Source organism: Homo sapiens, chromosome 16, assembly GCF_000001405.40.
Source record: "Homo sapiens chromosome 16, GRCh38.p14 Primary Assembly".
Taxonomy (NCBI): Eukaryota; Metazoa; Chordata; class Mammalia; order Primates; family Hominidae; genus Homo; species Homo sapiens.
The window spans coordinates 70,840,424-70,853,426 of record NC_000016.10 but is presented as its reverse complement, the minus strand read 5'-3'; the positions used below and the strand labels follow the sequence as shown (position 1 = coordinate 70,853,426).

At 37.9% G+C, this 13,003-nt stretch overlaps 1 protein-coding gene and 1 pseudogene across 1 annotated transcript in view; one reads left to right on the top strand and one right to left on the bottom strand.

Moving 5' to 3' along the window:
- HYDIN (HYDIN axonemal central pair apparatus protein) overlaps positions 1–13,003 on the top strand; it is a 428,639-nt gene that overhangs the window by 377,296 nt on the left and 38,340 nt on the right. The window contains exons 74-75 of the mRNA NM_001270974.2: positions 2,772–2,979; positions 3,480–3,701. Of these exons, the coding sequence (NP_001257903.1) occupies positions 2,772–2,979; positions 3,480–3,701 (430 nt within the window). The remainder of the gene's footprint in view (positions 1–2,771; positions 2,980–3,479; positions 3,702–13,003) is intronic.
- On the bottom strand, positions 651–729 carry RNU6ATAC25P (RNA, U6atac small nuclear 25, pseudogene; annotated as a pseudogene).

Genomic DNA, 13,003 nt, shown 5'->3' with positions numbered 1-13,003 from the left:
AAGCTACTATAAACTTTCATGTACAGATTTTTTGTGTCTTCATGTCACTGGGGAAAATGAGCAAGAGTGCAATTAATGGACATACGATAATGGCATGTTTCCAGAAAAAAAAAAGAAAAAAAACGGTGAAAATGCTTTCCAGACTGGCTGAACCATTTTACATTCCACTAGTTATCTCTGAATGTTCCAGAATCTCCACAACATCACCAAAATTTAGTGGTGTCACAATTTTTTTATTACTATTCTTAGACAGAGTCTCGCTCTGTTGCCCAGGCTGGAGTGCAGTGGTGTGATCTTGGCTCACTGCAACCCCCGCCTCCCAGGTTCAAGCAATTCTCTTGCCTCAGCCTCCCGAGTAGCTAAGGCTACAGGCACGCACCACTATGCCCGGCTAATTTTTTTTTTTTTTTTTTTTAGTAGAGATGGGGTTTCACCATGTTGGCCAGGCTGGTCTCGAGCTCCTGACCTCAAGTGATCCACCCGCCTTGGCTTCCCAAAGTGCTGGGATTACAGGAATGAGGCTCTGCAACCGGCAACAATTTTTTATTTTAGCTTTTCTGATAGATGTGTAAGGATATCTCATTGTAGTTTTAATTAGCATTTTCCTAATGACTAATAATGTCGGACATCTTTACATGTGCTTATTTTCTGTATGTGTGTTGTCAGGCCTGAGGGCCTCTTCCATCATTGTCAAGGGAAGTGCTAACCTTCTCTCCTTTCATACAACACATATGTGCTTGTTTTCCTTCTATGGATCCTCCTCAGTGAAATGTCTCTTCATGTCTCTTTCCAGTTTCCTGCTCAGCCTGTTTGTTTTTTATTGTTGATTTTTGAGAGTTCTTTACATGTTTAGGTAGTGCTCCTTTGGTGGATACATGATCTGCAAATATCTTCTCCCAGTCTGTGGCTTGTCTTTTGCTCTTCTTAACAAGGTCATTCACAGAGCAAAACCTTTTATTCTTGATGAAGTCCAAATTATCTATTTGTCCTTTTATGGACTGTCCTTTTAGTGTCTGTTCTATATCTCTGAATAGCCCTAGATTCAGAAAATGTCCTTCCATTATTTTTTCCGTAAGTTGTGTAGCTTTACATTTCAGTCTGTAACCCCTTTTTTATTAACTTATAAGGTATGAGATTTACGTCAAAGTTTTGTGGGGTTTTTTCAACTTTTATTTTAGTTTCAAGGGATATGCATGCAGGTTTGCTACTGGATTTACTGTATAGGTTTGGGGTACACATGGTCCCATCACCCAGGTACTGAGCTTAGTACCCAATCGTTAGTTTTTCAATTCTTGCCTCCCTTCCTCCCCTCCCCCTAGTAATCCCCAGCTTCTTTTGTTGCCATCTTTACGTCCATGTGTACCTGATGTTTAGCTGCAACTTATAAATAAGAACATGAGGTATTTCACTTTCTGTTCCTGCATTAATTTGCTTAGGATAATGGCCTCCAGCTGCATCCATGTTGCAGCAAAGAATTACCTCATTCTTTTTGTGGCTGTGTAGTATTCTACAGTGTATATGTACCACACTTTCTTTATCCAGTCTACAGTTGATAGGCACCTAGATTGATTCCATGTCTTTGCTATTGTGAATAGTGCTGCAATGAACATGAGAGTGCATGTTGTCTTTTTGGTAGAATGACTTTGGGTTTTTTGGCTTTTTTGTTTTGTTTTGTTTTGTTTTTTATGAGATTGCTTTGTTTTTTGTAAAGAGATTGCTGTGTTGAATGATAGTTCTGTTTTAAGTTCTTAGAGAAATCTCCAAACTGCTTTCCACAGTGGCAGAACGAGTTTACATACCCACCAATAGTGTATAAGTGTTCCCTTTTCTCTGCAGCCTCGCCAGGATCTGTTGTTTTTTATTTCTTAATCATAGCCATTCTGACTGGTGTGAGATGTTATCTCATTGTGGTTTTGACTTGCATTTCTCTGATGATTAGTAATGTGAAGCATTTCTTTATACGTTTGTTGGCCACTTTTCTGTTTCCTTTTGAGAAGTGTCTATTCATGTCTTTTGCCCATTTTTTAATGGCGTTACTTGTTTTTTGCTTGTTCAATTGTTTAAGTTCTTTAGAGATTCTGGATATTAGACCTGTGTCAGATGCATAGTTTCTGAATAATTCCTCCCATTCTGTAGGTTGCATTTTTTCTCTGTTTGTAGTTTCTTTTGCTATGCAGCAGCTTTTTTCCTTTCTTACTCTTTTTTTTTTTTTTTTTTTTTTTTGCAGGATTGATTGGGTCCCACTTGTCGATTTTTGTTTTTATTGCAAGTGCTTTTGAAGACTCAGTCATAAATTCTTTTCCAAGGCTGATGTCTACGATGGTGTTTTCTACGTTTTCTTCTAGTTTTCGTATAGTTTGAGGTCTTACATTTAAATCTTTGATCCATCTTGAGTTAATATTTGTATATGGTGAAAAGTAAGGGTCCTATTTTATTCTTCTGGCTTATGGCTAGCCAGCTATCCCAGCATCATTTATTGAATAGGGAATCCTTTCCTCATTGCTTATTTTTGTTGACTTTTTCAAAGATCAGATGATTGTAGGTGTGTGGCTTTATTTCTAGGATCTCTATCTTTTTCCATTAGTCTGTGTGTCTGTTTTTATGCCAGTACCACGCTGTTTTGGTTACTATAGCCACAAATCTTAAAATGTCATCATAATTTGGAGTTTCCTTTTCCTCGTAGTGAATCTGCTAATTCAGTAGGCTCATATTTTTTAAGGTTTTGACAAGTTGGCCTAGTCAGGTAATCTGCTGTTTTGTTCCCCAACCAGGTTCCCAATTGATATTTTCTTCACACCAAAGCAGGAAGGAGATGTGAACTTTAATTTGATCTGCAATGTGGAAAAGAAAGTCCACCCTGTGACATTAAATGTCAAGGCCGAGGGCTACACTATGAATGTGGAGATCAAGTGCAAGGACAGGACAGGCTCCATCACTCTGTTGACTCCCAACCAGACTAACATCATCAACTTCTATGAGGTAAAGGTGTAAGAAGACCTTGCTATCTATCTCAGCTTCCATTCTGACTGGGGAAAGTAGTAAAAATGAATATGAGCTGAGTCTTTCTGCTTCAAATGCCAGAGAGACCAGGAAAACAGAAACACTGCAAGAGCAGCTCTATCCCCAGAATGTATGTAGATATGATGTGAATGCTTTTCTTATTTTATTTTCAGGGGGGGGTGGAGAGATGGTGGGGAGAAGAAAGAGTGCTTGTGTTAAACATACAGGAAGGATATTTGACTACCAACAAAGGTCTAAGAACTAAATTGCCACTTTGCTCCATGAGATATTGAAAGAACCCCAACACTTAGTAGCTCCTGCTAGAATATCTGACTCCATTAAGCTAAAGATAGTCAAATCACCAACATCATCTGCCATCCTTATTTCCCAAAGGATATTTTTCATCAACATGTTACAAATGCTGACCCCAGACAAGGGAACTATGGTTTGCATTCACTGCTCTGTTCTCTGTCTCCTAGGTGGAGTTAAATGAATGTGTCCAGTGTGAATTCAACTTTATCAACACTGGAAAGTTCACCTTCAGCTTCCAGGCACAGCTGTGTGGCTCCAAAACCTTGCTGCAGTACTTGGAATTTTCACCCATCGACAGCACTGTGGATGTAGGACAGAGTGTACATGCCACCCTGTCTTTTCAACCATTAAAGAAGTGTGTCTTGACAGACCTGGAACTCATAATCAAGGTGAGTCCATTTAACATTGTCCAAACTCCAAAAGTACTCTCAGCATGCTGCCTTGGCAGGTTAATTCTCCTGTGTGTTCTTTGTCTTCTCCATGTGTCCAGAAGCTCCTAGAGGGTAGCTGTGTTGGACACAGCCTCACAATGTCTAGTACAAAGGCTTCAACAATGGTTAGGTGCCTGGGGAGTAAGTGTGGATTGAAAAGCAATTATATTGTAATACATTCACCCACTAAAATAAATAAAAGTGATAGATGGGGCAGGGAAAGAATATGTACAACGTTTTCTAAGATGGATTATTGAATGAAAAAAAAAAGAATGGTGATGTCAGCAGGAATGGCAGAGAAGGACATCCAAAATGCTGCTTTTCAATAGCAATGAGACCACTGGAAAAAATTTTCGAAATCAACTTTTTCAGAACTCTGAAAATTAATAATAGGCTTGCAACAATTCTCGGAGTATTTATTCAAGAAAAATGGCTGAATACCCATAAAGGCAGTGAGCTTTGTGGTATTTTGATTTGCCCTATTCTCTCCCTCCTCCCTCATCCCAGCTCTGCAGTAGCCTTGAAAACCAACAATTTGGCAATCAAAGTGAAAGTCAGCAATCAATCAGACCCTGGAGGAGGTAGAACAGATTGCAACTCCCCAAAAGCCCCCATTCTAAAAGAGTTGTCTAGAAGTTCAGTGGAACCCCCCCTCATAGGGATAGCTTTTATTTGACCTGACTCCAGGCTTGCTCAAAAACAATCAGTTGTAATTGTTTAACACTGCAGCTGACTGAGGGAGCATTGACCTTAGGAGCAAACAAGAAGTTCATTTAAAAATTTAAAAGGAGAGACTGGGAAGAAGATATTCATGGGGGGCTCTGAAAAGCTTCAGCATATTCCCTGGAATCTAGACAGCCATGCATGTGTAAGATGTGTATACCTCCAGGCTGTTACTGCTCAGGAAAGACCTGAGAAGGCCCTAAGCTCTTACCTCTGACTAACCTTTGGGTCCCAGGAAAGATAAAGCAGAATTGGCAACTGCCTGCCTGAGTGTCAAAGGCATGTCCTGCCACACACACACAGCCCCTCAGCAAAAGCTGGGAGACTTATTGGTTCCAGGCATTTAAGGGAATCTCTGTTCAATCATAAGCTGACCATTAAACTAACTGAGCAGAAACTTTATTGGCCATGCATAAATAAGAATATAGACTTTACTGAAAAAGTTACTAAACAAACTAAGAGTAACAACAGTAACCAACCCTGGGGGAGGGAGGATCTGATTTTCACAGTTGCCACATTTATTATTTTAAATCTCCAGTTTCCGACTAAAAAAATATGAGCCATGAAAAGATACAAGAACATATAACTCATATATGGGGAAAAAAGCAATGAATAGAAGTTGTCTCTGAGGGAGCCCAGATGTTGGACTTAATAGACAAATACTTGAAACCATCTATTTAAAATATGTTCAAAGAACTATAGGACACCATGTCTAGATAACTAAAGCAAAGTATGAGAACAATGTCTCACCAAATAGAGAATATCAATAAAGATATAGAAATTATAAAAATATACATTTTGGAGTTGAAAAACATAATAGCTGAAATGAAAAATTTCACAACAGGGGCTCAATAGCAGATTTGTTATGGTAAAAGAAAATCAGCTGTGGCAGATGGGATAAAATTGTTGAAAAGAAAAAGAAAAAATCAGCAAACTTGAAGATGGAGCAATTGAGATTATCCAATATGAAGAACAAAAAGGAAAAAGAATGAAGAAAAATGAACAGAAGTTCAGATTCCCATAAGAGATTATCAAGCATAGCAAAATACATGTAATGGGAATCTCAGAAGGAGAGAAGAGAGAAAATAAGAGAAAGAATATTTCAAGAAATAACACCCTAAAACTTCCCAAATTTAATGAAAACAATTAAATATCCAGAAAGCTGAATTCTGAGTGGGATAAACTCAAAAAAATCCACACCTAGACACATCATTACCAAACTGTTGAAATACAAAGACAGATCATCTGGAAGGCAGAAGGATTAATGGCTGGTTTCTCATTAGAAACTTCGGAGGCCTGAAGACAGTGTGATGACATATTCAACGTGCTGAAAAAAAAAAATTATCAACAAGGAATTTTATATCTAGTAAAACTATTTCTAAATAGTTCCCATTATTCTGCCGATTTTGGGGAACAATTTAAAAATGAAGGATAAACCAGGACACTCTCAGATAAATAAAACCTGAAAGAATTCATCACTAACAGACTGGCCTACAAGAAGTAATAAAGGGAATCCTTCAGACTGAAATGAAAGGACACTAAAGGATAACTCAAATCCACATGAAGAAATATAGATCACCAGTAAAGGTAACTGCATAGGTTATATAAAATCAGTATAAATGTATTTTTATTTATAACTTTTTCTATCTGATTTAAAAGACAACTGCATATAGCAATAACTATAAATCTGTATTAGTGGGCCTTATATAAAGATGCAATTTGTGTGGTAATAGCACAAAGAAAGAGGAAGTAACAGAGCTATATAAGAGCAAAAGTTTTGCCTATTATTGAAATTAAGTTGTTATTAAATGTAAAGACCATCGAGACTAGGAAGAAACTGCATCAACTAACGAGCAAAATCACCAGCTAACGTCATAATGACAGGATCAAATTCACACATAACAATATTAACTTTAAATGTAAATGGACTAAATGCTCCAATTAAAAGACACAGACTGGCAAATTGGATAAAGAGTCAAGACCCATCAGTGTGCTGTATTCAGGAAACCCATCTCACGTGCAGAGACACACATAGGCTCAAAATAAAAGGATGGAGGAAGATCTACCAAGCCAATGGAAAACAAAAAAAGGCAGGGGTTGCAATCCTAGTCTCTGATAAAACAGACTTTAAACCAACAAAGATCAAAAGAGACAAAGAAGGCCATTACATAATGGTAAAGGGATCAATTCAACAAGAAGAGCTAACTATCCTAAATATATATGCACCCAATACAGGAGCACCCAGATTCATAAAGCAAGTCCTGAGTGACCTACAAAGAGACTTAGACTCCCACACATTAATAATGGGAGACTTTAACACCCCACTGTCAACATTAGACAGATCAACGAGACAGAAAGTCAACAAGGATACCCAGGAATTGAACTCAGCTCTGCACCAAGCGGACCTAATACACATCTACAGAACTCTCCACCCCAAATCAACAGAATATACATTTTTTTCAGCACCACACCACACCTATTCCAAAATTGACCACATACTTGGAAGTAAAGCTCTCCTCAGCAAATGTAAAAGAACAGAGATTATAACAAACTATTTCTTAGACCACAGTGCAATCAAACTAGAACTCAGGATTAAGAATCTCACTCAAAGCCGCTCAACTACATGGAAACTGAACAACCTGCTCCTGAATGACTACTGGATACATAACGAAATGAAGGCAGAAATAAAGATGTTCTTTGAAACCAACGAGAACAAAGACACAACATACCAGAATCTCTGGGACGCATTCAAAGCAGTGTGTAGAGGGAAATTTATAGCACTAAATGCCCACAAGAGAAAGCAGGAAAGATCCAAAATTGACACCCTAACATCACAATTAAAAGAACTAGAAAAGCAAGAGCAAACACAGTCAAAAGCTAGCAGAAGGCAAGAAATAACTAAAATCAGAGCAGAACTGAAGGAAATAGAGACACAAAAAACCCTTCAAAAAATTAATGAATCCAGGAGCTGGTTTTTTGAAAGGATCAACAAAACTGATAGACCGCTAGCAAGACTAATAAAGAAAAAAAGAAAGAAGAATCAAATAGACACAATCAAAAATGATAAAGGGGATATCACCACCGATCCCACAGAAATACAAACTACCATCAGAGAATACTACAAACACCTCTACGCAAATAAACTAGAAAATCTAGAAGAAATGGATAAATTCCTCGACACATACACTCTCCCAAGACTAAAACAGGAATAAGTTGAATCTCTGAATAGACCAATAACAGGAGCTGAAATTGTGGCAATAAACAATAGTTTACCAACCAAAAAGAGTCCAGGACCAGATGGATTCACAGCCGAATTCTACCAGAGGTACAAGGAGGAACTGGTACCATTCCTTCTGAAACTGTTCCAATCAATAGAAAAAGAGGGAATCCTCCCTAACTCATTTTATGAGGCCAGCATCATTCTGATACCAAAGCCGGGCAGAGACACAACCAAAAAAGAGAATTTTAGACCAATATCCTTGATGAACATTGATGCAAAAATCCTCAATAAAATACTGGCAAAACGAATCCAGCAGCACATCAGAAAGCTTATCCACCATGATCAAGTGGGCTTCATCCCTGGGATGCAAGGCTGGTTCAATATACGCAAATCAATAAATGTAATCCAGCATATAAACAGAGCCAAAGACAAAAACCACATGATTATCTCAATAGATGCAGAAAAAGCCTTTGACAAAATTCAACAACCCTTCATGCTAAAAACTCTCAATAAATTAGGTATTGATGGGACGTATTTCAAAATAATAAGAGCTATCTATGACAAACCCACAGCCAATATCATACTGAATGGGCAAAAACTGGAAGCATTCCCTTTGAAAACTGGCACAAGACAGGGATGCCCTCTCTCACCACTCCTATTCAACATAGTGTTGGAAGTTCTGGCCAGGGCAATTAGGCAGGAGAAGGAAATAAAGGGTATTCAATTAGGAAAAGAGGAAGTCAAATTGTCCCTGTTTGCAGACGACATGATTGTATATCTAGAAAACCCCATCGTCTCAGCCCAAAATCTCCTTAAGCTGATAAGCAACTTCAGCAAAGTCTCAGGATACAAAATCAATGTACAGAAATCACAAGCATTCTTGTACACCAACAACAGACAGAGAGCCAAATCATGAGTGAACTCCCATTCACAATTGCTTCAAAGAGAATAAAATACCTAGGAATCCAACTTACAAGGGATGTGAAGGACCTCTTCAAGGAGAACTACAAACCACTGCTCAAGGAAATAAAAGAGGATACAAACAAATGGAAGAACATTCCATGCTCATGGGTAGGAAGAATCAGTATCGTGAAAATGGCCATACTGCCCAAGGTAATTTACAGATTCAATGCCATCCCCATCAAGCTACCAATGACTTTCTTCACAGAATTGGAAAAAACTACTTTAAAGTTCATATGGAACCAAAAAAGAGCCCGCATCGCCAAGGCAATCCTAAGCCAAAAGAACAAAGCTGGAGGCATCACACTACCTGACTTCAAACTATACTACAAGGCTAGAGTAACCAAAACAGCATGGTACTGGTACCAAAACAGAGATATAGATCAATGGAACAGAACAGAGCCCTCAGAAATAACGCCACATATCTACAACTATCTGATCTTTGACAAACCTGAGAAAAACAAGCAATGGGGAAAGGATTCCCTATTTAATAAATGGTGCTGGGAAAACTGGCTAGCCATATGTAGAAAGCTGAAACTGGATCCTTTCCTTACACCTTATACAAAAATCAATTCAAGATGGATTAAAGACTTAAACGTTAGACCTCAAACCATAAAAACCCTAGAAGAAAACCTAGGCATTACCATTCAGGACATAGGCATGGGCAAGGACTTCATGTCCAAAACACCAAAAGCAATGGCAACAAAAGCCAAAATTGACAAATGGGATCTAATTAGACTAAAGAGCTTCTGCACAGCAAAAGAAACTACCATCAGAGTGAACAGGCAACCTACAAAATGGGAGAAAATTTTCGCAACCTACTCATCTGACAAAGGGCTAATATCCAGCATCTACAATGAACTCAAACAAATTTACAAGAAAAAAACAAACAACCCCATCAAAAAGTGGGCGAAGGACATGAACAGACACTTCTCAAAAGAAGACATTTATGCAGCCAAAAAACACATGAAAAAATGCTCATCATCACTGGCCATCAGAGAAATGCAAATCAAAACCACAATGAGATACCATCTCACACCAGTTAGAATGGCAATCATTAAAAAGTCAGGAAACAACAGGTGCTGGAGAGGATGTGGAGAAATAGGAACACTTTTACACTGTTGGTGGGACTGTAAACTAGTTCAACCATTGTGGAAGTCAGTGTGGCGATTCCTCAGGGACCTAGAATTAGTAATACCATTTGACCCAGCCATCCCATTACTGGGTATATACCCAAAGGACTATAAATCATGCTGCTATAAAGACACACGCACACGTATGTTTATTGCAGCATTATTCACAATAGCAAAGACTTGGAACCAACCCAAATGTCCAACAATGATAGACTGGATTAAGAAAATGTGGCACATATACACCATGGAATACTATGCAGCCATAAAAAATGATGAGTTCATGTCCTTTGTAGGGACATGGATGAAATTGGAAATCATCATTCTCAGTAAACTATCGCAAGAACAAAAAACCAAACAGCACATATTCTCACTCATAGGTGGGAATTGAACAATGAGATCACATGGACACAGGAAGGGGAACATCACACTCTGGGGACTGTGGTGGGGTGGGGGGAGGGGGGAGGGATAGCATTGGGAGATATACCTAATGCTAGATAACGAGTTAGTGGGTGCAGCGCACCAGCATGGCACATGTATACATATGTAACTAACCTGCACAATGTGCACATGTACCCTAAAACATAAAGTATAATAAAAAAAAGAATAAATAAATAAATAAATAAATTTATGTAAAAAAAAAGAAATTAAGTTGTTATCAACTCAAACTAGATTGTTTTAAATGTAGATGTTAATTGTAATCTTCCTTGCAACCACTAATACAACAACTCAAAAGAATATAGTAAAACAAATGGCAAGGGAATTTAAATGGTACACTAGAAAATATCTACTTAACACAAAAGAAGGCAGTAATGGAGGAATAGAAGAATAAAAAAGACATAATTGACTAGTGATTTGTTTAAAAAGACATGATATATAGAAAGCAAATAGAAAAAAGACATAAAATTTTACCTTATCAGTAATTACATTAAATTTAAATGAGTTAAACCCTTCAATAGAAAGATAAAAATTGGCAGAATAATGGGAAAAATCATGATCCAACTATGTGCTGTCTACAAGAGACTCACTTTGGATTCAAAGACACAAATAGATTTAAAGTAAAAGGATAGAAAAAGATATAGCATTTAAATAGTAACCAACAAGAGCTAGGGTACCTATGCTAATGTCAAACAAAATAGACTTACAGACAAAAACTATTCCTAGCGATAGATAAAGACATTTTTCAATGATTGAAAATTATTCCTAGAGATAAAGATATTTTATAATGATAAAAGAATCACTCCATCAAGAAGACATAGCAATTATAAACATGCATGTAACGACAGAGTCCCAAAATACATGAAACAAAACTGACAGAATTGAAGGAAGAAATAAACAATTCAACAATCATAGTTGGAGATTACAGTACCTAGTTTTAAACAATAGATATAACTAGACAGAAGGTCAGCAAGGAAATAAGAAGACTTGAATAGCACTATGAAAGCTCTAGGCCTAACAGACATATACAGAACATTTCATCTAACAGCAGGAGAATAGACATTCTTTTCAAGTGAACATGGAACATTGTCCAGGATTGACCAGATATTAGGCCATAAAACATACCTCAATAAATTAAAAGGATTGAAATCGTGCAAAGTATGTTCTTCAACCACAATGGAAAGAAATTTGGGATGCCCAGCCTAACACATCATCTTTATCAAATCCTCAGGAAGAAGGTGATTGATAGAAAGATGGGTGTAAAACCACTGGAACCTGTCTTCATCTGTTTTGTGCTTCTATAACAGAATACCTGAGACTGGGTAATTTATAATGAATAGAAATGTTTCGGCTCATGGTTCTGGACCCTGGGAAGTTCAATATCAAGTTGCCAGCATCTGGTGAGGGCCTTATGGCTGCATCGTAACATGGCAGATGGCATCACATGATGAAAGGGCAATGGTTACGGGAAGAAAGGTCGGGGGTGGGGCAGGAGGAAGAGAGAGACAGAGAGAGAGAGCAAGAAGGAGTGAACTTATTCCTGCCATAGCAAACGCACTCCTACGGTGATGGCATTAGTCCATTCATGAGGGCGATCCCTCATGACCAATCACTTCTTAAAAGTCCCACTTCCCAATACCATCACAATGGCAATTAAATTTCAGCATGAGTTTTGGAGGAGACAAACATTCAAGCCATGAAAAAATCCAAGGTGCATCACTGGTCATTGAGAGTTCGGGAAGCTCCACTGTTTTCTTGGCCTGAAACTCAGCAGCAAAGTTGCAGCCATCTTCTCTGAGAAAAGCCCGGTTTGTGGCTTCAGAAGGGACCTATTCCTTTTGAGAACTTTTTCAGAACTTACATTTCTTAGAGCAAACAGAAACGTAACATGTTACAAGATCTTTCTACTCTGGTTGGCAGAAGAGTTGAAGATGATAAATTTACATCCTTTTCATTGAATCAGTCACAAAATGTAAACACTTTAAAAGCCTTGGACATTTATCTGTGTAACAAACCTGCATATCCTGCACATGTACCCCTGAACTTAAAAGTTGAAAGAAAAGAAAAATAAAAGCTTTGAATAAGAAAATGTTTTTAAATGTATAAAGTTGTTTATGATAGCTTGTACCAATGACTGCTGACTTATTCTAATAATGTTTAAAATGAATGTTTATTCTACTGTTTATTCTAATAATGTTTATTCTAATGATGCTTAGAATGAATAATAGATAATTTATTTGAAATCAATTATCAATTTGTGAAAATTCACATTATGAGGAGTTTGTGAAGAGCAAATTAACTTCATGTACCAATGAGTCACATATTACCTTGTGATTGAGAGTCCAGATGATGACCTGTGCTCTTTCCATCTTTCCACTCTTTCATCCTTGGCATATTAGCCTTGTTCTCCTTCTTGTCATCTCCTGGTCACAAGATGACCATTCTACCTGACATCCTATGTCTGCATTCCAGAGTGAAAAGAAAGGGGAAGAGTGTGAAGGCAAAGAACTTCCCCAGAAAGGCTTTGCCTCTTTATTCAAGATAGAACACCCTCTTGTCCTCTTCTGTTTACATCTCAATGACTGGAACTATGTCTGATGGCCATCCTGAGCTTCAAAGGAAGGTGTAAAATGAAGCATTTGCACCTAGGCACATGGGCATCCAATCAGAGTCCTGCTAGGAAGGAAGCCATGGGGAGCGGATATTGGGTAGTAACTAGCAGTGCCTGGTATACCCCTGAGCCTTCAAGCTGAATCATTGCTGCAAGAGCAAAGTGGGAGGCAATGTAG